This window comes from Homo sapiens, chromosome 19 (genome assembly GCF_000001405.40).
Source record: "Homo sapiens chromosome 19, GRCh38.p14 Primary Assembly".
NCBI lineage: Eukaryota > Metazoa > Chordata > Mammalia > Primates > Hominidae > Homo > Homo sapiens.
This window is the reverse complement of record NC_000019.10, coordinates 34,403,342-34,428,685: the sequence shown is the minus strand read 5'-3', so window position 1 is coordinate 34,428,685 and position 25,344 is coordinate 34,403,342. Positions and strand designations below refer to the sequence as shown.

General features: G+C 45.9%; 2 protein-coding genes, 1 long non-coding RNA gene and 1 pseudogene across 10 annotated transcripts in view, besides 2 other annotated features; 2 read left to right on the top strand and 2 right to left on the bottom strand.

Annotated features, from left to right (window-relative positions):
• The window catches only part of UBA2 (ubiquitin like modifier activating enzyme 2), a 42,871-nt gene extending 42,566 nt beyond the window's left edge, over positions 1-305 (bottom strand). For all 7 annotated transcript variants that reach the window (NM_001411139.1, XM_011526304.3, NM_005499.3 and 4 more), the window contains exon 1: positions 116-305. Coding sequence is in view for 5 of the 7 variants with exons in the window: in NM_005499.3 (NP_005490.1) it covers positions 116-253 (138 nt within the window). In the remaining 2 variants the exon portion in view is untranslated. The remainder of the gene's footprint in view (positions 1-115) is intronic.
• Positions 38-147: a silencer, noted in NCBI's record as "silent region_10503". NCBI's record gives its function as "represses an Ori minimal core promoter by ATAC-STARR-seq in GM12878 lymphoblastoid cells {active_cell/tissue: GM12878}" and the evidence as "EXISTENCE:reporter gene assay evidence [ECO:0000049][PMID:35858748]".
• Positions 178-417: a silencer, noted in NCBI's record as "silent region_10502". NCBI's record gives its function as "represses an Ori minimal core promoter by ATAC-STARR-seq in GM12878 lymphoblastoid cells {active_cell/tissue: GM12878}" and the evidence as "EXISTENCE:reporter gene assay evidence [ECO:0000049][PMID:35858748]".
• On the top strand, positions 322-2,580 carry LOC124904695 (uncharacterized). Its single transcript, XR_007067232.1, has 2 exons — positions 322-564; positions 2,285-2,580. It is a non-coding gene; the product is annotated as an uncharacterized LOC124904695 (long non-coding RNA).
• PDCD2L (programmed cell death 2 like) lies at positions 2,518-24,287 on the bottom strand. Of its 2 annotated transcripts, none has more exons than NM_032346.2 (7): positions 24,148-24,287; positions 23,871-24,037; positions 23,696-23,756; positions 19,176-19,525; positions 14,839-14,949; positions 7,019-7,167; positions 2,518-2,696 (listed from the first exon to the last, which is right to left on the bottom strand). In NM_032346.2, the coding sequence occupies exons 1-7, from the start codon at positions 24,253-24,255 to the stop codon at positions 2,566-2,568; spliced, it is 1,077 nt and encodes a 358-aa protein (NP_115722.1). In that variant the 5' UTR covers positions 24,256-24,287; the 3' UTR covers positions 2,518-2,565. The 2 variants fall into 2 exon arrangements, with proteins under 2 accessions (NP_115722.1, NP_001340362.1); NM_001353433.2 differs by having other exon boundaries at positions 19,176-19,519.
• On the top strand, positions 6,375-6,698 carry RN7SL154P (RNA, 7SL, cytoplasmic 154, pseudogene; annotated as a pseudogene).

The following is a 25,344-nucleotide window of genomic DNA, read 5'->3' as shown; positions in this document are numbered from 1 at the left end:
AACTCCGGTCCCGGGCTCCGGGCCCTGAGCCTCAGAGCCCCTGGAGCCCCGGAACCCCCGAATCCCAGCCCCCGCACCACAGCCCGCCATTCACGCGCGCGCGCCCGGCCCTCACCAGGTCGATGTGGGAGAAACCGGTGAGCACGAGATTCTTGAGGAGCTCGCAGCCGATGCCGCCCGCCCCCACCACCAGCACCCGGCCCCCGGCCACCGCCTCAGCCAGCTCCCGGGGCAGCCCCCGCGACAGTGCCATGGCGGGACAACCACGAGCCGCGGCGGAGGCGGAGGCGGGAGAACCGAGCCGCGGCCGGAAGCGGGTGGGGGAAGGGCGGCCTGGTTTCCGCTCCTGCGCACTACAGCCTCCGGCAGACACAGGCAGGGCACATCGCGCCGGGGTGTGCTGCAGCCCGCGGGGACCGGCAGGCTCTTGCAAAGGGCTGGCGACCTCCAGCTGAGACCGGCGGTGTTATTCCCACACCAGCATAGGCCCGCCATCAGACCTAAAAAGTCTAAGGGTCGCCTTCTAGCCTGGGGTTTCAACTCCCAGCCAAGACTTCCTTACAGGTTAGAAAACTGATGTCCCTATACGTAAAGAGCTCTTACAAATTAACAAGTGTCACCCCCAAAAAAATATAGGCAAAGGATGTGAACAGGAAACTCACAAAAAATTGGACAATATGATCAATAAGCGTATTAAAATGTAAACCATAAAAGAATCGCTTGAACCCTGGAGGTGGAGGTTGCAGTGAACCAAGATCGCACCACTTCACTCCAGGCTGGGTAACAGAGCAAGACTCCGTCTCAAAAAAGAAAAAAATGTAAACCATGCAAAATGGTAAGATTTTCACCTGCCGGGCGCGGTGGCTTACGCCTGTAATCCCAGCACTTTGGGAGGCCGAGGCGGGTGGATCACGAGGTCAGGAGTTCTGAAACCAGCCTGACTAACATGGTGAAACCCCCATCTCTACTAAAAATACAAAAATTAGCCGGGCGTGGTGGCGTGCGCCTGTAATCCCAGCTACTCGGGAGGCTGAGGCAGGAGAATCGTTTGAACCCAGGAGGCAGAGGTTGCAGTGAGCCGAGATCGCGCCACTGCACTCCAGCCTGGGCAACAGACTCCGTCTCAAAAAAACAAACAAACAAACAAACAAAAAAAAACACCGAAACAGCTGGGGGTGGTGGCACAAGCCTGTAGCCCCAGCTACTCAGGAGGCTGAGGCAGGAGAATTGCTTGAACCCAGGAGGCGGAGGTTGCACCACTGCACTCCAGCCTGAGCAATACAGCGAGACTCTGTCTCAAAAAAAAAAAAAAGTTTTTCACCTACTAAACTGGTAGAAAGAAAAAATAAGTAACACTTATCAAGGGATTGGGAAACAAGCACTCCAACACACTCCAGGTAAAGATTCCAAAGCAAAGCTTCTCTAGAGGGCGTGGTGGCTTGCACCTGTAGTCCCAGCTACTCAGGAGGCTGAGGCAGGAGGATCACTTAAGCCTGAGAGGTCGAGGCTGCAGTGAGCTATGCCCTTACCACTGCACTCCAGCCTGAGAGACAGAGCAAGACCCTGTCTCGAAAAAAAAGAAAAAAAAACCCTAAAATTGTGCACAACTTTTGACTCATTCATTCCAATTCTAGGAAACTGTCCTGTAGCAGTTATCATTGATTTAAAATATATATAAATTTAGTTACAGGGATGGCCATCATGGGAATAAAAATTGGAAAATACAAGTGGCTAAAAATTGTATAAAGCTTTTGATGTATATTTAAAAAATAGAGCAATTATAAATTATGTTGTGGGAAAAATATTAATGGGAAAATGCTCCAAATATAATGTTAAATGCAAGAAACAAGCCCACCCCATGATCACCTAGGCCTCATTATCCTCATCTACGTAGGCAGAGCATGTCTGAACATGGCTGGGAGTGTTTTTATACTGCTGTTATGGGGCTGAAGGGAAGGGGTTGATCATGTTAAAAATAAAGAAAGGGGAAGACTGGAAGGCAGCTGGATAAAGGGACAGTCTCCAGAACGGAGTAAAGACCCCTTCCTGGGATACTGCAGGAGCAGAAGATGGGAGTGGGTGAGGGCGGGGACCTGGGCTGATGAACATGGGCAGGTCTAAACAGCCAGGGTCACAGAGCAAAAACCTCCAGCAGCTAGAGCAGGTTCAGTGGCTTGATCAGGTGCCAGAAACAGCATAGGAAGCACTGGAGTGCACGTGTCAGAGGTGTACACAAGAGGCTGACCACTGCTCTTGGCTCTTTCGCTGCTCTCCTCCCCCCTAGAATGCCCACCAGAACGGCTGTGCAGACAACACCAGCCCTCTGGACTAGAGAGGAGCTACCTTCCTAGCTGCCACTGTGACAGCTGGCCCTGGACCCTGGAAGGGCAGACCAACCCACAGTCAGGAGGTCCTGGCCCGGCCCCGGCCCCGGCACCAGCACCCAAAGGCAAAAAGGCAACTCAGAAAAACAGAGGTTAATAACTTGTGAGTTAAAATAAGGTACATACAAACATATTTGGATGTAAACATTTGTTTTAATTTATATTAATAAAAGGAAATGCTCTACTTAAACAATAATTCATCTGGGTCTTCTTGTATAATACAAAATTCTTCCATGGGAGTCTGATGATTTGGGGGCCAGCAACTCTTCTCACATGTGTAAACTAGAATTGTTCCAAATTCCACAGAAAGACCTGAAAAATACCACATATTCAGGCTTCCAGCAAAAAGAGTTATGAGACTGATGTTACTAAAAGGAATGATTTTACCTTATAAGCTGAAAAAGTAATTAGGTAAAGCAAAAACAGTGCTTACTGCTTTCAGCTATAACAGAATCACAGTCTATCCTATAATAAGTGAATATTGATAACAAAAAAGCAAAATTAATTTAAAGTGGCAGGAAAATATACTTTAAAAATAAACAAAAATTTCAGCAAGTGTTCATTATAACTGTCTAGCTATCTGATGTTGAAAATCTATATTAATCTACATGGTTCATGTGATATACATAGCTTTTGGCTAGGTGCGGTGGCTCACAACTGTGATCCCTGCACTTTGGGAGGCCGACGGGGAAGGACAGCTTGAGCCCAGCCTAGGCAACATAGTGAGACACCTGTCTCTACAAAAAACAAAACAAACAAACAAACAAACAAAATATATATATATCTCATATAGCCTGGGCAACACAGTGAGACTTTACTAAAAAAAAAAAAATTCACTGGGTGTAACGGTGCACACCTGTAGTCCCAGCTACTCAGAGGAGACTAAGGCAGAAGGATCACTTGAGCCCAGGAGATAAAGGCTGCAATAAGCTATGATTGCACCACCGTACTCTGGCCCGGGTGATAGAGCGAGACCCTGTCTTAAAAAAAAAAAAAAAAAGAAGAGAGAAATATATATCATAGGACACACTACTGCCGAGAAAGGATAAGGATTCAGGCAAAAAATATAAAATAAACCCTAAGAGTTTACAGAAAATTATCAATGAATAAAGCCATTAAAAAAAGATACCAAGAAAACATAAGCAATAAGAACTCCTGATATTAGAACAGAAAAGCAGGAGTCAAGAGGATGACGTAGGCAATGATTTGCAGCAGCAAAGGAGAAATACATTGTTTAAAAATGTATGCATTGGCTGGGCACAGCACATTGGCTCATGCTTGTAATCCCAGCACATTGGGAGGCTGTGGTATATGGATCACCTGAGGTCAGGAGTTCAAGACCAGCCTGGCCAACATGGTGAAACCCCGTCTCTACTAACAATACAAAAAATTAGCTGGGCGTGGTGGTAGGCACCTGTAATCCCAGCTACTTGGGAGGCTGAGGCAGGAGAATTGCTTGAACCTGGGAGGCACAGGTTGCAGTGAGAAGAGATTGTGCCACTGCACTCCAGCCTGGGCAACAGAGTGAGACTCTGTCTCAAAAAAAAAAAAAAAAATGAAAAAATGGCAGAGTTTAACTGGTATATGACATTCCTCTAGGAGCATCTGACTGGTAAGGGAAAAGCGCCTCAAGTGAGCAAGTCTACAACTCCAGTAAACACACTGCGCATGCGGCCTCTCCCAAGTGCTGGAGGGCCACTATGCATGTGGACAGCCCACCCCAAGGGAAGAAACAAGAGAAGTAACCCAAGACCCAGGAAGTATAAAACCCCAAGTCAAAGGTCAAATGGACACTTGAATCTCTCAGGTTGCCTGCTTGGCCCTCTTCCAACTATATTTACTTCCTTTCGTTCTTGCTCTAAAACTTTTTAGTAAGTTTTCACTCCTGCTCTAAAATTTGCTTCGGTCTCTCCTCTGTCTTATGTGCCTCGGTCAAATTCTTTCTTCGGAGGAGGCAAGAACTGAGGTTGCTACAGACCCCTACAGATTCACCGCTGCTAACAGTATTGTGGCAAAAATGTTAGTCACAAAGGGGGAAAAAATCAGACCACCCTCATACCTCTACAAAGCTACATTCCATGCAAAAGACATTTCTATATGAGTGAAAAATCTCAGAGACTAGAATGCCCATAAGCCCTTCCAGAAAAATATATTTCCCAGTGAGACTGAACCACCAAGAAATGACAGGAGGCACCAGGGCAAAGGGCTGGCAGGGCTTTCACTGTCAGAAGACAACACAGGGGTCTATACAAGGTTCTGAAAAGAGAAAGTGGGATTTAAAAATTTTATACATGGGTTGCCCCTCAAATATGAAGCCACATTACCATGCACAATCTGAAGCAAGATACCTCTGAGCCCTCCTTAAAGCTATTACTTGAGAAAATCCAGCTACTGCAAAAAGAATCAAAATAAAACAGGAATAAAAAAGCTCACTCTAAGAGTGGTGATAAACACTGAATCCATTTACACATAGAACTAAGGCTATCCAAATAGCTGTGATAATTATGATACTGGCCAGGCGCGGTGGCTCATGCCTGTAAATCCCAGCACTTTGGGAGGTCGAGGTGGACGGATCACTTGAGGTCAGGAGTTCAAGACCAGCCAACATGGCGAAACCCCGTCTCTATTAAAAATACAACATTAGCAGGGCGTGGTGGTGGGCGCCTGTAATCCCAGCTACTCAAGAGGCTGAGGCAGGAGAATCGCTTGAACCTGGGAGGCAGAGGTTGCAATGAGCCGAGATAGTGCCACTGTACTCCAGGCTGGGCGACAGAGTGAGGCTCCATCTCAAAAAAAAAAAAAAAAAAAAAGATACTGGGTCCAGGCACGGTGGCTCATGCCTATAATCCAAGCACTTTGGGATGCCGAGGCAGGTCGGGAGCTTGAGGTCAGGAGTTTGAGACCAGCCTGGCCAACAACAGTGAAACCTGTTTCTACCAAAAATATAAAAAATTAGCTGGGTGTGGTGGTGGGCACCTGTAATCCCAGCTACTCAGGAGGCTGAGGCAGGAGAATCACTTGAACCTGGGAGGCAGAGGTTGCAGTGAGCCGAGATAGCACCATTGCACTCCAACCTGGGTGAAACTCCGTCTCAAAAAACAAAAAAGATACTGAAATATTTCAAGGTAGGAATAGGGTATAAATTTCCTTATCTACTATGGTAAGGAGCCAGATGCATACTATCTAAAACTGAAACACAGAAAGAATGTTATTTTCTGTTAATAGCAGAAGCACCTTTCAGAAACTTGGGCCTCTTAGGTAAAGAACCTATTACCAAAAGTCCAGGCCAGGCGTGGCAGCTCACGCCTGTAATCCCAGCACTTTGGGAGGCTGAGGTGGGCGGATCACAAGGTCAGGAGATCAACACCATCCTGGCTAACACAGTGAAACCCCGTCTCTACTAAAAATACAAAAAAAAATTAGCTGGGCTTGGTTGCGGGCGCCTGTAGTCCCAGCTCCTTGGGAGGCTGAGGCAGGAGAATGGCATGAACCCGGGAGGCGGAGCTTGCAGTGAGCTGAGATTATGCCACTGCACTCCAGCCTGGGCGACAGAGCAAGACTCCGTCTCAAGAAAAAAGAAGGAAAAAAAAAAAAATCCAGTAACTGCTTCACTTATACTTAACATTCCTTCTGTTAATTTGTACAAAAATTTGTTCTAAGACTTTTAATTACCATATTAGTGAATTTTCCTATTTTAGGAAAATTATTTTCGTCTAGCCATCCATACATTCATCTGACTTGCTATTTGTCTTTATGTCAAAAATGATTGTTGGAATAATGGTTATTAACATTGATAATAGTTTTAATTTCTGGCCAGGCATGGTTCATGCTTGTAATCACTTTGGGAGGCCAAGGCGGGAGGATCGCTTGAGTCTAGGAGTTCGAGACCAGCCTGGGCAACATGACGCAACCTTGTCTCTACAAAAAATACAAAAATTCCATCCTGGCCAACACAGTGAAACCCTATCACTACTAAAAATACAAAAACTAGCCGGGCGTGGTGGCGGGCACCTGTAATCCCAGCTACTAGGGAGGCTGAGGGAGGGGAATTGCTAGACCCCGGGAGCTGGAGGTTGCAGTGAGCCAAGAACGTGCCACTGCACTCCAGCCTGGGCGACAGAGAGAGACTCCATCTCAATAAATAAATCAATCAATAAATATTAAAAAAAAAAAAAAAAGACTGGCTGGATTATAAATTTCTTTTTTTTTTTTTGAGACAGAGTCTCCTCACTCTGTCGCCAGGCTGGAGTAGAGTGGTGCGATCTTGGCTCACTGCAACCTCTACCTCCTGGGTTCAAGCGATTCCCTGCCTCAACCTCCCAAGGAGCTGGGACTACAGGCACGTGCCACCACGCCCAGCTAATTTTTTATATTATAGTAGAGACAGGGTTTCACCACATTGGCCAGGATGGCCTCGATCTCCTGACCTTGTGATCCACCCGCCTTGGCCTCCCAAAGTGCTGGGATTACAGGCATGAGCCACCACACCTGGCCTAAATTTCTTAAAATAATTTTTTAATTCCCAAATTTTCTGTAATTTGCTTATGATATTTTATAAGTAAACAAAAGGTTTTTCATTTATTTAAAAATAATGCCAGAAATCCACAAACTCAAATTAATAAAGGGCTTCTCACCTAAATTAGCACTCTTGAGCATGCTGACCAGTGCTGGCATAAGCTGAAACTCAAATATCCTTTGGCCTCCACACTGGCTGCAGGCTGGGAGCTCGGTGACTTCTGATGTAGGGCAGGTCAAAAAGAGTGGCTCTCCACTCCAGGAATACCTAGGACAAGGAAACAAAGAACCCCGAATCAGAGCCACACAAGTCGCATTCTAGCATCTAAGGCCATGCTTTGCAACCTTTCTTTGTTTCTTGCAGAAATCTCCCAGAGGCCCAAAAACCTAGCACCATGGCTGTAAAGCATAGCAAGATATCTGGAAATCTTGTCAGTGTTCGATTCAAAGTCTCAAAGGCACTAAAGTCAATGTTCAACTGAATCTAGGTAAAGCTGCAACAAAGTCCAGACTCAGCTCCACTGCAGATTAAATGGAATCAGCCCTCCACATCACTGGCCTTACAGAGGAAAGGGCATGCCTTAGAGAAGAAGTCCCCAACCCCCAGGCCATGGACCCCCAGGCCATGGACCAGTACTGGTTGGTAGCCTATTAGGAATAGGGCCATGCAGCAGGAGGTGAGCAACAGCCAAGCGAGCATTACCACCTGATCTCCACCTCCCGTCGTATCAGCAGCATTAGATTCTCATAGGAGCGCAAATCCTATTGTGAACTGCACATGCAAGGGATCTAGGTTGTGTGCTCCTTCTGAGAATCTAAAGCCTTATGATCTGAGGTGAACAGTTTCATCCCAAAACCATGCCCCACATCCCCCACCTCAGTCTGTGAAAAAATTGCCTTCCATGAACCAGTCCCTGATGCCAAAAAGGTTGGGGACCTCTGCCTTAGAGGGAGGAAACATTCACTTCAGTTTTTGGGTTTTTTTTTTTTTTTTTTAGATAAAGCCTTTTTCTGTTGCCCAGGCTGGAGTGCAGTGGCACAATCACAGCTCACTGCAGCCTTGACCCCCTGGGCTCAAGCAATCCTCTTACCTCAGCCTCCTGAGTAGCTGGGAACACAGAGGCGCATCACCATACCCAGCTAGTTTTTAAAAAAAAAATTTGTAGAGACAGGGTCTTGCTATAATGCCCAGACTGGTCTCAAACTCCTGGCCTCAAGTGATCCTCCCACCTCAGCCTCCCAAAGTGCTGTGATTACAGGTGTGAGCCACCACATCCAGCTCACTTCAATATTACTGTTGTTCGATATGTAATTTCTGGTAAATCATTTTAAAAGTTACTAAACATGCAAAGAAGCAGGAAAATTTACCCCATAAAGAAAGTTAATGCAAGGAGACCCATGGACAAGATGATAAATTTATCAGACAAAAACTTTAAAATACCAGTAATGAATATGTAAAAAAAAAAAACCAAAAAAAAAACCTAGTGGACAAGGTAGGCCGGGTACCGTGGCTCAGGCCTGTAATCTCAGCACTTTGGGAGGCTGAGGCGGGTGAATCACTCGAGGACAGGAGTTCGAGATCAGCTTGGCCAACATGGTGAAACCCCATCTCCACTAAAACTACAAAAATTAGCCGGGCGTAGTGGCAGGTGCCTGTAATCCCAGCTGTGGGGGAGGCTGAGGCCGCGGCTGCAGAATCGCTTAAACCTGGGAGGCAGAGGTTGCAGTGAACTGAGATTGCTCCACTGCACTCCAGCCTGGATGATAGAGCAAGACTCTGTCTCGAATAATAATAATAATACAAAAATTAGCCAGACATAGTGTAATAATACAAAAATTAGCCAGACATAGTGGTGCACGCCTGTGGTCCCAGCTACTTTGGAGAGTGTGGCAGGAGGATCACTTGAGCTCAGGAGTCTGAGGCTGCGGTGAGCCATGACTGCACCACTGCATTCCAGCCTACGCAAGCAACAGAACAAGACCCAATCTCTTAAAAAAAAAAAAAAAAAAAAAGCAACATAAAGAGTTAAAAATAAAAGACAAAAAAGGAACAAAATAGTAAACTAAAAATACTCAAAGTCACTGACAAGCAGGTTAAATAAAAGGAATACAGAGACAAAAACAAAAAAACCCCACCAAATGGAAAGTCAGGTGTGGTGACAGATGCCTATAACCCTAGCACTTTGAGAAGCTGAGAGGCTGAGGTGAGGGAACTGCTTGAGTCCAGGAGTTCAAGACCAGCCTAGGCCACATAGTGAGACACCCATCTCTTTAAAAAAAAAAAAAAGGAAATGGAGGAAAAAACAATAACAGAATAAAATTAACCCAACATGGTGGGGTGCGGTGGCTCATGCCTGTAATCCCAGCATTTTGGGAGGCCAAGGCAGGCGGGTCACCTGAGGTCAAAAGTTTGATACCAGCCTGGCCAACATAGCGAAACCTGTCTCTACTACAAAAAATTAGCCAGGCATGGTGGTGCGCACCAGTAATCCCAGCTACTCAGGAGGCTGAGGCAGGAGAATCGTTGAACCTGGGAGGCAGAGGTTGCAGTGAGCCAAGATCGTGCCACTGCACTCCAGCCTGGGCAACAGAGCAAGACTCCGTCTCAAGAAAAAAAAAACAAAAAACAAAAAACAATTAACCCAACAATACCAATGATTACATTAAAGGGACTGCATATTCCGTGTTAAAAAAACCATAACTGTTAAGTTGAACTTGATCAAAATTTAAAGCCATCTGTCAGAATCTGTTTGAGTGCTAAAAAAAATTAAATTGAAAAAGGACTTGTACTCTTGACCATATGAAGAATTCCTACAACTCAGTAACACAAACAATATGGTGAGAGATTTGAATGACACATTATCCAAGATGATATACAGAGATGGAAAACAAGCACTTGAAATGATGCTCAACATCATTTGCCATTTGGGGAAATGCAAATTAAAGCCACAATAAAATGCCACTACACACCTTCTTAAATGGCTAAAATTAAAAACTGAACATCCCAAGCATTAGCAAAGATATACAGGAAGTAGAATTCTTAAAAACTGCTAGTGGGAATAGAAATGGCATAACCACTTTGGAAAACTGGCCTGTTTCTTAACAAGTTAAACATGCATATCCCATATAATACAACCGTTCTATTCCTAGGTATCTACCCCCCCAAAATCAGAACATGTCTTACAAAGAGATGTAAACAAATGTTCACAGCAGCTTTATTTATAATAGCCAAACACTGGAAATAACCCAAATATCCATCAACTGGTAAATGTATAGTGGCACATCCATACAATGGAATACGACACAGCGGTCAAAAGGAATGAACTATTGATACATGCAATAAGAATGAATCTTGAAGTATTCTAAGTGAATAAAACCAGACCAAAAAAAAAAAGTATATCCCATATGACCTTATATACTTTCACAGGAAATGCACTAAGGTGCAACAGAAAGATGATTGGCGGTTGCCTGGGGACTAGGGGAGCAGCACAGGACAGGGTAGGCAAGAACTTGCGAAGAAGTATGAGGAAACTCCTGGCAGAGAGGAATATGTTTACTGTCTTGACTGTTGTGATTTCAGGGGTGTATATGGATGTCAACTTATCAAAGTGCACACTGTAAAAATATACGCAGTCTGTTGTATGTCAATTGTATCTCAATAAAGCTGCTGAAAAATAAATGTAAACAGACACACTTCACTACAGAAGATACACAGATGTCAAATGAGTATATGGAAAGATGCACAACATCATTTGTTATTAGGAAAATGCAAATTCAAACCACAAGGAAATACCACCACCACCACCTACTAGAATGGCTACATTTAAAAGACTGACGATATTTTTAAAACCACCACCAGGCTAGGTTTCTCAATGTCAACTATTCTTATACTCCCTGTATTTTAGTATTTGCATATTTAGTTCTTATTTCATTAAGGAAAAATTCCCAATTTTATCTTTGAATAGTTTCTGATCCATCTATTGCGTTCTCTATTTTGGACACCAATTCTCCTCATAGTAAATATATTTATCAACCCTTCAAAGATACCATCTTCTCTCTGAATGCTTTCTCTTTTTCTTCTGCATTCACTGGATTAGCTCAAGTCTTTCCTCTATACCAGTACTTTGATCTTTAGCCAAGTCTATTATGTTCCTTAACTTTTTTTTTCTTTTTTTTTTTGAGACAAAGCCTTGCTCTCTCGCCCAGGCTGGAGTGCAATGGCGCAGTCTCGGTCGACTGCAACCTCCGCCTGCCAGGTTCAAGCAATTCTTCTGCCTCAGCCTCCCGAATAGCTGGGACTACAGGCACCCGCCACCACACCCAGCTAATTTTTGTATTTTTAGTAGAGACAGGGTTTCACCATATTGGCCAGGCTGATCTGGAACTCCTGACTTTGTGATCTGCCTGCCTTGGCCTCCCAAAGTGCTGGGATTACAGGCTTAAGCCACCACACCCGGCCAGTGTTCCTTATATTCTATATGTATTAGATATGTAATGTCATGGGGCTTGGTTTCTTTAGCAATTCAATTTCCGATTCATACATAGTTACTTTATTTTCTCACCTTTGAGCTCTTGTTTTATGGAATCCATTCTTATGAAGTTCTTATACATTTTGAAGCATCTGCTGGGACTGATGTGCTCCTTGGATTATATTTTATTTTATTTTATTTTTTGAGACAGAGTCTCACTCTGTCACCCAGGCTGGAGTGCAGTGGCACGATCTCGGCTGATTGCAACCTCCACCTCCCAGGTTCAAGCGATTCTCCTGCCTTAGTCTCCTGAACAGCTGGGACTATAGGCACCCACCACCACGCCCGGCTAATTTTTGTATTTTTAGTAGAGACAGGGTTTCACCATGTTGGCTGGAATGGTCTCGATCTACTGACCTCGTGATCCACCCGCCTCGGCCTCCCAAAGTGTTGGGATTACTGGCGTGAGCCACCGAGTCCAGCTGGATTATATTTTCTGGCAGACTTGGTTCTTGAGCCTTTTCTATGTTCTCTTCATTTCCTTAACTGTTCTTGCCACAGTATGATTACCTGGGTGGCATGCTATTTTTCATCTAGCTCACACCTAAAGGGGGCAACTCAGTTAAGACCATCTATTTGCTCTGAAATGTCTGCAGAGGTTCTCATTGATTTCCTGTCCATCTCATATGAGGCCTGTTTTCCTCTCTCTAAGAGTACTGTCCATTTCCTCTACATTTCTGTAGGTGGTAAAAGAGGAAACTGGGGTGAGGAGATAGTTCTTCTGGGACTGGATGCAATCTTTATTAGAATACCTGGGCTTTGCTTTTTCCTCTGAGACAGTGTAAAATGCTGTATGTTGAGAAAGATCCCACTCGAATGGAGGCGAAATTGCTCTTAACTTTCCAATCATTGCTCTGACTCATGGAACAAAGGAATGTTGCTTCTGAGAGGCAATCCCCGTCCTTTCCTACACCACCTCCCCACCACACCCAGTTCTTCAGCCAACAGCTGGGTCCACCATCCTCCACATTAGGAGATGCAAACTCTCCTCCTGTGTGCTTCCTTCCAGACATAATATTATTAACTGAAAATTCTTAGGCCGGGCATGGTGGCTCACACCTGCCATCCCAGCACTTTCAGAGGCTGAGGTGGGTGGATCACCAGAAGTCGGGAGTTCGAGACCATCCTGGCCAACATGGTGAAACCTCATCTCTAATAAAAATACAAAAATTAGCCGGGTATGTTGGCACATGCCTGTAGTCCCAGCTACTCAGGAGGCTGAGACAGGAGAATTGCTTGAACCCAGAAAATGGAGGTTGCAGTGAGCTGAGATCGTACCATTGCTCTCCAGCCTGGGGGACAGAGACAGATTCCGTTTCCGAAAAAAGAAAATTCTTTGTGGACTCATCAGTATATTTTAGGCAGGTGAGAGAAAAGGCCTGTGGAATTAGAACTTGCACTTAACCATGCCGGAAATTTCTGTACCTTTCTCTGCAAAGATAACTTAGTTACATAAGTGAATAAATATATATGTTAAACACTCAAGAACTCTACTAGACATTTATGGATATTATATCCTGGGCTATCACTTTGAGTTTTATGGTACTAAGCCCTTTTCCTTTGTTCAGTGCTGATACAAGGGAATTTCTTTTTTAATATTTATTTTATTTGGCCTGATTTTTAGCTTTTAGATTCACTGTGGTAGGTATCGGGGAAAAAGACCATTTGAGCTAATTCTGCCCACTTTGTCTGGACCTGTTTTTACTATGTGGCTATTTTTATAAATTATACCTGCTGGGTATGTCATTTCCTCTGAGGCCTTTCTGATAGCCTACCTAAAATAGCTCTATTTTTTCCTCATTTATCACTTATGGGAATCATACAGGTTTGTTTTTAATCTCCCCCACTAGTCACAGTGGCTCAAGCCTGTAACTCCAGCACTTTGGGAGGCTGAAGCGGGCAGATCATTTGAAGTCAGGAGTTCGATACCAGCCTGACCAACATGGTAAAACTCCGTCTCCACTAAAAATACAAAAAGTAGTCAGGCGTGGTGGCGCTGTAATCCTAGATACTCGGGAGGCTGAGGCAGGAGACTCTTAAACTTGGGAGGCGGAGATTGCAGTGAGCCAGGATCACGTCACTGCACTCCAGCCTGGGTGGCAGGGCGAGACTCCATCCCAGAAAAATAAAAATAAATTAAAAAATAAAAATAAATATATGGGCCAAGGGTCGTGGCTGATGCCGGTAATCCCATCACTTTGGAAGGCCGTGGCAGGAGGATCACTTGAGGCCAGGAGTTTGAGAGCAGACTGGGCAACATGATCAGATCCCATCTCTACAAAATACATTTTTTAAAAATTAGCCAAACATGGTGGCACACTCCTGTAGTTCTAGCTACTTGGGAGGATCGATTGAGCCCAAGAGGTAGTTGTTACAGTGAGCAATGATCACGCCACTGCACTCCAGGGTGGACAACAGACTGAGACCCTCTCTCTAAAAAAATATTTTTTTAATAATAATAATAGTCCAGGCACAGTGGCTCATGCCTGTAATCCTAGAACAAACTCTGGGAAGCCAAGGCAGGTGGATGGCTTGAACCCAGAAGTTTGGAACCAGCCTGGCCAACATGGTGAAATACCATTTCTAAAAAAATATACAAAAATTAGTTGGGCATGGTGGTACATGCCTGTAGTCCCAGCTACTTGGGAGGCTGAAGTGGGAGGATCACTTGAGCCCAGGAGGTCAAGGTGCACTGAGCTATGATTGATCACACCACTGCACTCCAGCCTGAGCAACAGAGCAAGACCCTGCCCCCAAAAAAAAAAAAAAAAAAAAAAAAAAAAGCCAGGCATGGTGGCTCACACTTGTATCTCAGAACTTTGGGAGGCTGAGGTGGGCAGATTACGTGAGGCCAGCAGTTCGAGACCAGTCTGGCCAACATGGTGAAACCCCATCTCTACTAAAATACAAAAAAATCAGCTGGGCAGGGTGGCGGGCACCTGTAATCCCAGCTACTTGGGAGGCTGAGGCAGGAGAATGGCTTAAACCCAAGAGGTGGAGGTTGCATTGAGCCAAGATCACGCCACTACACTCCAGCCTGGGCGACAGAGCGCGACTCCCTCTCAAAGAAAAAAAAAAATTAAATAATAATAATAATAAAGGCTATGAGAACATGGACTTCATCTGTGCCGTTTCTTGCTATATCTGCAGCACCTACAAATACCAGCAACTGGCATGCAGAATAGACTTCGTAAGTATTTGTTAGACAAGTGAGTGCACTTTACCTTACTGAATCCTCCTACACATCCTATAAAGTAGGTATTAGGTCCTATAAAGCAGGTATTAGGTTCTCTCTTGGTTTGGGGAATACTGTAGGTTTTGCTTTTCTCATATTTTCCTGTGTTTTCCAAACTAATATGTATTCCTTTATAATCAAGGAAAACAATAAAAGGAACTGTGCCTTTTTTTACCTCAAAATCTGCTCCTGACAAGCAGCAATTCGCTTCATGAATTTGTAAAACGTCTGATCTCCACTTTTAATTATGGTCTTCTCATATTTTTCATCACCATCATTAGGAAGGCTAAAAACAGAAGCAGAAAACACTTTTGAATGTCTATATCCAGAAAATTACAGCATTTGCAAGACAAAACAAGATAATTTTCTTTTAAAAAATTTTATCAGGGCAGGCGCAGTGGCTCACGCCTGTAATCTCAGCACTTTGGGAGGCCGAGGCAGGCAGATCACAAGGTCAGGAGATCGAGACCATCCTGGCCAACATGGTGAAACCCCATCTCTACTAAAAAATGCAAAAAATTGGCTGGGCATGGTGGCTTGCGCCTATAGTCCCAGCTACTCAGCAGGCTGAGGCAGAGGAAATCGCTTGAACCCGGGAAGCGGAAGTTGCAGTGAGCCGAGATCGTGCCATGCCACTACACTCCAGCCTGGTGACAGAATGAGACTCCATCTCAAAAAAAAAAAAAAAAAAAAAATCAATCACGCCTTTAATCCCAGCACTTTGGGAGGCCGAGGTGAGCAGATCACCTGAGGTCAGGAGCTTGAAACCAGCCTGGCCAACATCTTGAAACCCCATCTCTAATAAAAGTACAAAAAATTAGCCAGGCGTGGTGGCGGGCGCCTGTAATCCCAGCTCCTTGGGAGGCTGAGGCAGGAGAATCACTTGAACCCAGGAGATGGAGGTTGCAGTGAGCCAAGATTGCGCTATTGCACTCCAGCCTGGGCAAGAAGAGTGAAACTCCGTCTCAAAAAAAAATTTCTCAGGCCAGTGCAGTGGGCTCACGCCTGTAATCCCAGCACTTTGGGAGGCCGAGGCAGGCGGATCACTTGAGCTCAGGAGTTCAAAACCATCCTGGGCAATCTGGCAGAACCTTGTCTCTACAAAAAAATACAAAAATTAGCTGGGCATGGTGGCATGCACCTGTGGTCCCGGCTATTCCAGAGGCAAGGCTGTGGTGAGCCGTGAGCACACCATTGCACTACAGCCTGGATAACAGTGTGAGACCCTGTCTCAAAAAGAAAAAAAAAAAAAAACTGTCAAAGTTAAAAAACTGTAAAACTGTCAAGTAATTTTTTTTTTTTTTTGAGAGGGAGTCTCCCTCTGTCACCCAGGCTGGAGTGCAATGGTGCAATCTTGGCTCACTGCAACCTCCACCTCCTGGGTTCAAGCAATTCTCCTGCCTCAGCCTCCTGAGTAGCTGGGATTGCAAGTGTGCGCCAACACGTCCAGCTAATTTTTGTATTTTTAGTAAAGACAAGGTTTCACCACGTCGGCCAGGCTGGTCTCCAACTCCTGACCTCAAGTGATCCATCTCGGCCTCCCAAAGTGCTGGAATTATAGGAGTGAGCCACCGCACTCAGCCAAAAACTGTCAAGTAAATATTTTTGATATTTAAATTGTGTACATGTAGCTCTGCAGTTCCCTGCCCAACCCTTCTCCCAAGCCATTTTCAACTCTTGAGTAATTATTTACAATTTAAAAAGTCGCAGGGCACAGTGGCTCACACCTGTAATCTCAACACTTTGGAAGGCCGAGGCAGGTGGATCACGAGGTCAAAAGATCGAGACCATCCTGGCCAACATGGTGAAACCCTGTCTCTACTAAAAATACAAAAATTAGCTGGGCATGGTGGTATGCACTTGTAATCCTAGCTATTCAGGAGGCTAAGGGAGGAGAATTGCTTAAACCTGGGAGGTGGAGGTTGCAATGAGCTGAGATTGAGCCACTGTACTCCAGCCTGGCAACAGAGCGAGATTCTGTCTCAAATATATATATTTTCATATATATTTTTTAATATATATATTTTATTATTTATTTTATATATATATATATATATATGTATTTTTCATCTGGGTGCGGTGGCTCACGCCTGCAATCCCAGCACTTTGGGAGGCCAAGGAGAGTGGGTCACTTGAGGTTAGGAGTTTGAGACCAGCCTGGCCAACATGGTGAAGCCCCATCTCTACTAAAAATACAAAAATTAACCGGGTGTGGTGGCGGGTACCTGTAATCCCAGCTACTTGGGAGGCTGAGGCAGGAGGATCATTTGAAACTGGGAGCTGGAGGTTGCAGTGAGCCATTATCACACCGCTGTACTCCAGCCTGGGTGACAAAGTGAGACTCTGTCTCAAAAAAACCAAAAATTTTTTTAATTAGCTGAGTTTGGTGGCACACACCTGTAGTCCCAGCTATGGGGAAAGCTGAGGCCAGAGGATCCCCTGAGGCCAGGAGTTTGAGGCTGCAGTAAACCATGAGCAGGCTGGGCGTGGTGGCTAATACCTGTAATCCCGGCACTTTGGGAGGTCGAGGTGGGCGGATCACGTGGGGCCAGAACTCCAAGAAGAGCCCGGCCAGTATGGCAAAAGCCCATCTCTACTAAAAAGAAAATACAAAAATTAGCTGGGTGAAGTGGCGCACGCCTATGGTCCCAGCTACTCGGGAGGCTGAGACATGAGAGCTGCTTAAGCCGGCGAGGGAGAGGTTGCAGTGAGCCGAGAACGTGCCACTGCACTCCAACCTGGGCAACAGAGCAAGACTGTCTCAAAAAAAAAAAAAAAAGGCCATAACCACACCACACCACTGCAGTTCAGCCTGGGAAACAAAGCAAGATCCCATCTCTAAAAAAAAAAAAAAAAAAAAGAAGAATACTCTAGTCTGAAGAAACCCACCAAAAATAAGCAAATACATAAAAACTTAAGAAATTAAAAAATAAAAAATCCTGCCGGGCGCGGTGGCTCACACCTGTAATCCCGGCACTTTGGGAGGCCAAGGCAGGTGGATCACGAGGTCAAGAGATTGAGACTATCCTGGTCAACATGGTGAAACCCCGTCTCTACTAATAATACAAAAATTAGCTGGGTGTGGTGGCGCGCACCTGTAGTCCCAGCTACTTGGGAGGCTGAGGCAAGAAAATTGCTTGAACCCAGGAAGGGGAGGTTGCAGTGAGCCGAGATCGCACCACTGCACTCCAGCCTGGCAAGAGAGCCCATATCACACACACACAAAAATAAATAAATAAATAAATAAATAAATAAATAAAAAATAAAAAGTCCTTATAACCATCAATTCTATTAAGGATTATTTTCAAACACCAACATGTCTTCATGCATTCCCCTTCATCATTATTCTGAAAAAGCCTACAAATGAAACAGTTCTGGTAAAGAACCAGGCCATTTCTCCAAATATTCTATTGTAATTTTTTTATTCTAATAGTAAAAAATGCTGGGTGCAGTGGCTAAAACAAATTTTTAGGCCAGGCACAATGGCTCACGCCTGTAATCCCAGCACTTTGGGAGGCTGAGGTGGGTGGATCACCTGAGGTCAGGAGTTCGAGACCAGCCTGACCAACATAGTGAAACCCCATCTCTACTAAAAATACAAAAATTAGCTGGGCATGGTGGCACATGGCTATAATCCCAGCTACTTGGGAGGCTGAGGTAGGAGAACTGCTTAAACCTGAGAGGTGGAGGTTGCAGTGAGCCGAGATCGTGCCATTGCACTCCAGCCTGGGTAACAACAGCGAAACTCAAAAAATTTTAATTGGTCAGACATGGTGGTGTGCACCTGTACTCCCAGCTACTTGGGAAACTAAGATAGATTGCCTGAGCCCAGGAGTTCAAGGCTGCATGAGCTTTGATCACACCAATTCACTCCAGCGTGGGTGACAGAGTGAGACCCTGTCTCTCTCAGTCAATCAATAAGCAAAAATGATCATTCTTACCTCTTTAGAGAGCTTTGGTTTATAAAGCCTTTCAAGATCTACCCTCTCGCTTAACTCTCAAAAAATCATGGGATGAAACAGAGAACAGAGATATCACCATCACTCTCATTTTACAGAATTGAGGATCTGAAAGCATCTCTGAGGTCCTGGGCCAGTTCTGGAGCCACAGCCAAGAGTCAATAAACAAATGGCGTTTTTCTTTTCCTTTTTCCATTTTTTCACCCCAATCTTATTATCCCAGATCAAATGGTAGTTTTCTAACTTGCCTGTCTCTGCTATAAAGACATATTAGAAATATAAAAGAAAATTTAAGAGTCAGTGAACGCGTCTTCTATAAATACTTGCCATCTCTAACTTCTGTTTGTTCATCTTCACTTTCTTAACGGCAATTATAAATAGAGCAGGGTTTTCAAGCTAACTCAAGTTGGCTGATAAGGAAGTGAAGCAAAAAGGTCCTACATACAAGTTCTGCCTGAAAGTTTCCCCAGGTCCTGTGGTGAAACTGAAGGGTAACTCTTGTGGCTGCTTCCCAATCCAGTCACCTCTCAACCTCAGCAGCACACATCCTCACCTTTGGGAAAGCAACTGATCCATGGCAATGCCTTCTCTCTGCTGATAGTCCCTCAGAAGGCTGTGGGCATGATCCAGGTTGACAAAGTCCCTGTAATCATCCTCATCTGCAACACAGATGTAGTAGGGCAGGAAGAGCGGCAGCCCAGGAGGCACAGGATGGGCAGCACCCAGGACAGCATCCTGCAGGCGGAGGTCTTGGAGCCGAGCAGTCCAGTCTACGTCTTTGGCACTGCTGGCATCATTCCCAAAATCCAAGGTAAACTGTGGTGAAGGCCCCTCCTCAGTATCACTTCCCCAGTCATCAGCACCTTCACACCAGTCCTCAGCTGCAAGGCTGTTTCCCTGTTTCTGGAAAAATACTCAGTGAATGAGGTCCGAGCACATTTGGGAGGTTTATTCTAATCCTTCGGCTCCAGCCACCCACCGCCGCGCCTTCCAGAGGGAGCCTTCACACCATCCCCTTCCCCTCTGGTACACTCCAATCAAACTTTCTAGACCCTATGTACTCAAAAGCACGTTGGAGGTGACTTAAAATACTTGTCTTTCCTTTTTGGGGTGAGTGTGACAGATATAGTACAGGGGTTATTCAACCATCCGTTCCAATATCTTTCTGTTGTGCTTCATGTATTGCAGGAACTGAAAAGAAAGAACTACCTTTCCCAGACCCCTTAGCAGCTAGGGTTTCAGATATGATTAGGGGTCTGCTAATCAGGTCTACTAGAGAGAAACATGAACTTGAGACAGAGTGAAGTAGAAAGAAAGACCACATAGCAAAAGGTAGCCATTGTGTAGACACAGACAGAACAAGGCTTTGGAGCCAACGGTTCGGTGGCAAAGACAGCCTCTAGTTCACCAGATCACACCTAAGCTTCCTGACAGCAGGAGAGGTGGCATAGCAGCTCCTTCACGGCCAGTTCTGAGGTGTGATTCTGGAGGGCATTCCTGGAGCCTCCTCCTTCAGCCTATCCACTTACTAAAAACCTCACTCCTGTGTTAAGTCTGTCTCAGCTTAAAAGCCAGGCATGGTGGCACGTGCCCGTAATCCAGCTACTCAGGAGGCTGAGGCAGGAGAATCGCTTGAACCCGGGAGGCGGAGGTTGCAGTGAGCCAAGATCACACCACTGCACTCCAGCCTGGGTGACAGAGCGACACTCGGTCTCAAAAAAAAAAAGAAAAAGCAACAGCACTTTTCTAATTATCTGCACCTGAACCCTGACAAATATAGGCAAACACCACTGTCTTCAACTTTTTATTTAAGTACTGCTAATACTATGCCTAGCAAACATCAAGAACTGGGTGCAGGCCGGGCCCAGTGTCTCACGCCTGTAATCCCAGCATTTTGGGAGGTTGAGGTGGGCGGACTGTTTGAGTCCAGGAGTTCAAGAACAGCCTGGGCAACATGACAAAATCCCATCTATACAAAAAATATGAAAATCAGCTGGGCATGGTGGCACGTGCCTGTAATCCCATCTACTCAGGAGGCTGACGTGGGAGAATGGCTTGGGCCCAAGAGGCAGAGATCATGCCACTGCACTCCAGCCTGGGTGACCAGAATGCAACCCCATCTCAAAAAACAAACAAACAAACAAACAAACTCAGTGTATATATAAAGACACATTTACAGTCAAAGGGAGGCTAAATTGTGTTCTGCAGCTACCAACTTGCCTGCCTTTTCAATAAATTCAGATTTCATCTTATGAAATGTGTTAATACATATATAGCTCTCATAAAGTATATTTACTATAAAGACACGTATACATTATCACATACAACCACATATATGTACACACCCATATATATTCCCAAACAGGAAAATCAGTAAACTGTGTGTCTCAAGACCTTCAGTGTAAGTTTAAAAAAACTACTATATATACAATGGAATATTTTTCACCCTTAAAAAAAAAAAGGAAATTCTGTCATTTGTGACAACATGGATGGAACTGGAGAACATTTTGCTAAGGGAAATAAGCCAGACACAAAGACAAATGCTGCATGTATTCACTTATATGTGGAATCTAAAACAACCTCAAAGAAGTAGAGAGTAGAGTGGTGGTTAAAGAAATCTGGAGTGGCCAGGTGTGGTGGCTCACGCCTGTAATCCCAGCACCTCAGGAAGCCAAGGCGGGTGGATCACGAGGTAAAGAGATCGACACCATCCTGGCTACACGGTGAAACCCCATCTCTACTAAAAATACAAAAATTAGCTGGGCATGGTGGTGTGTGCCTGTAGTCCCAGGTACTCAGGAGGCTGAGGCAGGAGAATTGCTCGAACCTGGGAGGCGGAGGCTGCAGTGAGCCAAGATTGTGCTACTGCACTCCGGCCTGGCAACAAAGCGAAACTCCATCTCAAAGAAAAAAAAAAATCTGGAGTGAGCCGGGCATGGTGGCTCACGCCTGTAATCCCAGCACTTTGGGAGGCCGAGGCGGGTGGGTTGCCTGAGGTCAGGAGTTCAAGACCAGCCTGGCCAACATGGTGAAACCCTTTCTCTACTAAAAATATAAAAATTAGCTGGGCGTGGTGGCGAGTGCCTGTAATCCCAGCTACTAGGGAGGCTGAGGCAGGCAGGATAAGCGCTTGCATCCGGGAGGTGGAGGTTGCAGTGAGCTGAGATTGTGCCATTGCACTCCAGCATGGGCAACAAGAGCGAAACTCGGTCTCAAAAAAAAAAAAAAAAAAAAAAAGGAAGAAAGAAACCTGGAGCGGGAAGAATAAGGAGATGACGGTCAAAGAATACAAAACCTCAGTTATTCAGGAGGAATGTGGGTTTTTTTTAAGTTCTACTGCACAGCATGAATATAGTTAATAATAGAGTATTGTGGCTGGGCACAGGGGCTCAAGCCTGTAATCCCAGCACTTTGGGAGGCCGAGGTGGGTGGATGACAAGGTCACGAGATCAATACCATCCTGGCTAACATGGTGAAACCCTGTCTCTACTAAAAATTTAAAAAAATGAAAAAATTAGCTGGCCGTGGTGGCGGGCGCCTGTGGTCCCAGCTACTCTGGAGGCTGAGGCAGAATGGTGTGAACCCAGGAGGTGGAGCTTGCAGTGAGCAGAGACGGCGCCACTGCACTCCAGCCTGGGCAACAGAGCAAGACTCCGTCTCAAAAAAAAAAAAAAATAAGAGTATTGTGTATCTCCAAATTGCTAGAGGAAATTTCAAATGTTCTCACAAGATGTTAAGTATTTGAGGTGATGAATGCATTAACTAGCTTCATTTAATTATTCCACATGATATTCATGAATCATAGCCATCACTTTATACCTCATAAATTTATACATTATTATAAACTGTCAATTTACAGTTAAAAAAAAAAGTTGAAGAAATCCAGGAGGAAGTCTCCATCTCCCTTTTGTTTTTTTGGCAGGGGACAGGGTCTGGCTTTGTGGCCCAGGCCGGAGTGCAGTGGCACAAGTGTAGGTCACTGCAGCCTCAACCTCCTAGACTCAAGCAATCCTCCTACCTCAGCCTCCTGAGTAGCTGGCACTACAGTTGCGTGGCCATCATGCCTGGCTAATTTGTTTACTTTTTATAGAGACGATGTTTTGCTATGTTGCCCAGACTGCTCTCCCAACGTTTTTTTTTTCTTTTGTTTTGTTTTGTTTTGTTTTTACGGAGTCTGTCACCCACGCTGGAGTGCAGTGGCATGATCTCAGCTCACTGCAATCTCTGTCTCCCGGGTTCAAGCGATTCTCCTGCCTCAACCTCCCTTGTAGCTGGGATTACAGGTGTCTGCCACCATGCCCGGCTAATTTTTTGTTTTTGTTTTTAATAGAGACGGGGTTTCGCCATGTTGGCCAGGCTGGTCTCGAACTTCTGACCTCAGGAGATCCGCCCGCCTCGGCCTCCCAAAGTGCTGGGATTACAGGCGTAAGCCACCGCGCCCAGCCTGGTCTCCAACTTCTGAGCTCAAGCAATCCTCCCACTTCAGCCTCTCAAAAAACGGTGGGATCACAGGCGTGAGCCACCATGCTGGGCCTCCATCTCCTTTTAACAAAGGAGTTAGAAAATAAAAATAAAGTAAAATAGAAGAAAAAAAAAACTCTCACAAAACCTTAAGAAAGGCCGGGCGCGGTGGCTCATGCCTGTAATCCCAGCACTTTGGGAGGCCGAGGCGGGTGGATCACCTGAGGTCGGCAGTTCGAGACCAGCCTGACCACCATGGCGAAACCCCGTCTCTATTAAAAATACAAAATTAGCCGGGCGTGGTGGCATATGCCTGTAATCCCAGCTACTAGGGAGGCTGAGGCAGGAGAATCGCTTGAACCTGGGAGGCGGAGGTTGCGGTGAGCCGAGATCGCGCCATTGCACTCCAGCCTGGGCGACAGAGCGAAACTCCGTCTCAAAAAAAAAAAAAAAAAAAAACTTTACGAAAATAGCATTTTATGGTTCTTCAGAAAAGCAAAAAACACTCCAGTGTACTTCAAAGAACACGGCTTTAAAGTCTGCCCCAAACTATTCTCTGGAAAATATCCTCAAATGACAGAAAAACAATAACATGCCAATCACAACCTTTACCTGAGCGTCCTGCGCCTCTCTCTCTGGCACCTGCAGGCACTGGGAGCGGAACACCTTCCAGCTTCGGGGTGAAGACAAAGGGCCGTGAGGGCTGCACCCCGACTCCAGCCCGCCGGCCCGCCCCAGCCCGCTGGAAAGGACACCCCTGGAGCAGCTCTGGGACTTCCCCGCCTACCTGCGCGCACCGCCGGTGCTACAGCCGGGGCAGGCGCACGCGAACACGTGCAGCAGACGGTGAAACGGGGAGCCTTCCAGCGGGCAATACACCTGCACGACCAGAGCGAGCGGCTGCCCGCAGCGCTGACACACGGGCCTGGGCGCAGCCACGGTGGGCAGAGCATCCTGAGGGGACAGAGGAGGCGCTCAGACCCCGACTCCCCCCAGGACCTCGCCCACTCCCTCCGCACCCTTCAGCAGCACCCATCGACCCCAGCTCCGGCACCCGCCCTCACCGGAATGCCGCCCAGCTTGCTAGCAGTCCAGGCACCCGGCCCTGTGGGGCTGCCGTGCACCGGCGCATCTCGAAGGCCCAGCAGCACCGGCTTCAGAACGGCCGCCATGGCCGCCGGGCGACCAGGTGAAAACGCAAACTACGGCGGCCTCTCTGCGCACGCGCAACGCTACGCTAAAATGATAACCCCGCTCCCTTACTAGGATCCGATGCGGAGGCGTGGCTTTAAGGCGCGTGCGCTCAGGTCCCAGAGCCACAGAGGCGCCGCTGGCGTCAGGGGCTCGAAATCCCGGAGTCCCAGGCATTATGTGCCCCTTAATGCGCTGTGATAGGAAGTACACACCATCTACTAGGAAGTAGTTTTGCCAAAAAGCTAACTTTCTTTTTTCCTTTTTTTCCTGAGACGAGGACTTGCTATATTGCCCACACTGGTCTTGAACTCCTGGGGTTCAAGCGATCCTCCCGCCTCCGCCTCCCAAAGTGTTGCGATTACAGGTGTGAGCCACCAGAAAAAAGCCTTCCCGGAAAATAAAAATTTTAGGTGGGATAATGGTATTATCAGTCATTAACAAGAACAATAAAGTTTTTTAAAAAGTTAAAGTTTTTAATTTTTAGAGAAACACACCAAAATGCTTATAGATGAAATACCTCCGATTTGCTACTACATAATTAAGGTGGTGGGGTGTAAATACAGTAAGATTGACCATGAGTTGATAATTGTTGAAATTTGGTGCCAGGCACATGGAGATTTATTCTATTTGGGTTTTATATGTTTGAGATTTTTCAGTTTTTATTTTTGTTTTGTTTTGTTTTGTTTTTGAGACAGAGTCTTGCTGGGTCGCCCAGGCTGAAGTGCAGTGGCGCCATCTCACTGCATCTCAGCCTCCCAGGTTCAAGTGATTCTCCTGCCTCAGCCCCACCCAGTAGCTGGGGTTACAGACGCCCACCACCACGCCCGGCGCCCGGCTTTTTTTTTTTTTTTTTTTTTAGACGGAGTTTCGCTCTTGTCGCCCAGGCTGGAGTGCACTGGCGTGATCCCAGCTCACTGCAACCTCTGCCTCCCAGGTTCAAGCGATTCTTCTGCCTTAGCCTCCCGAGTAGCTGAGATTACAGGCATGTGCCACCATGCCTGGCTAATTTTGTATTTTTAATAGAGATGGGGTTTCTCCATGTTGGTCAGGCTGGTCTCGAACTCCCA

Excerpts from the sequence above, each read along its gene's own strand:
- PDCD2L (NM_032346.2), bottom strand. The coding sequence starts at position 24,255 with ATGGCGGCCGTTCTGAAGCCGGTGCTGCTGGGCCTTCGAGATGCGCCG. Across the intron at positions 7,168-14,838 it reads TGTCAGGAGCAGATTTTGAG|GTATTCCTGGAGTGGAGAGC; the intron begins GTAAAAAAAGGC and ends TCCTTGTCCTAG. Across the intron at positions 2,697-7,018 it reads GCTCAAGAGTGCTAATTTAG|GTCTTTCTGTGGAATTTGGA; the intron begins GTGAGAAGCCCT and ends GGTATTTTTCAG.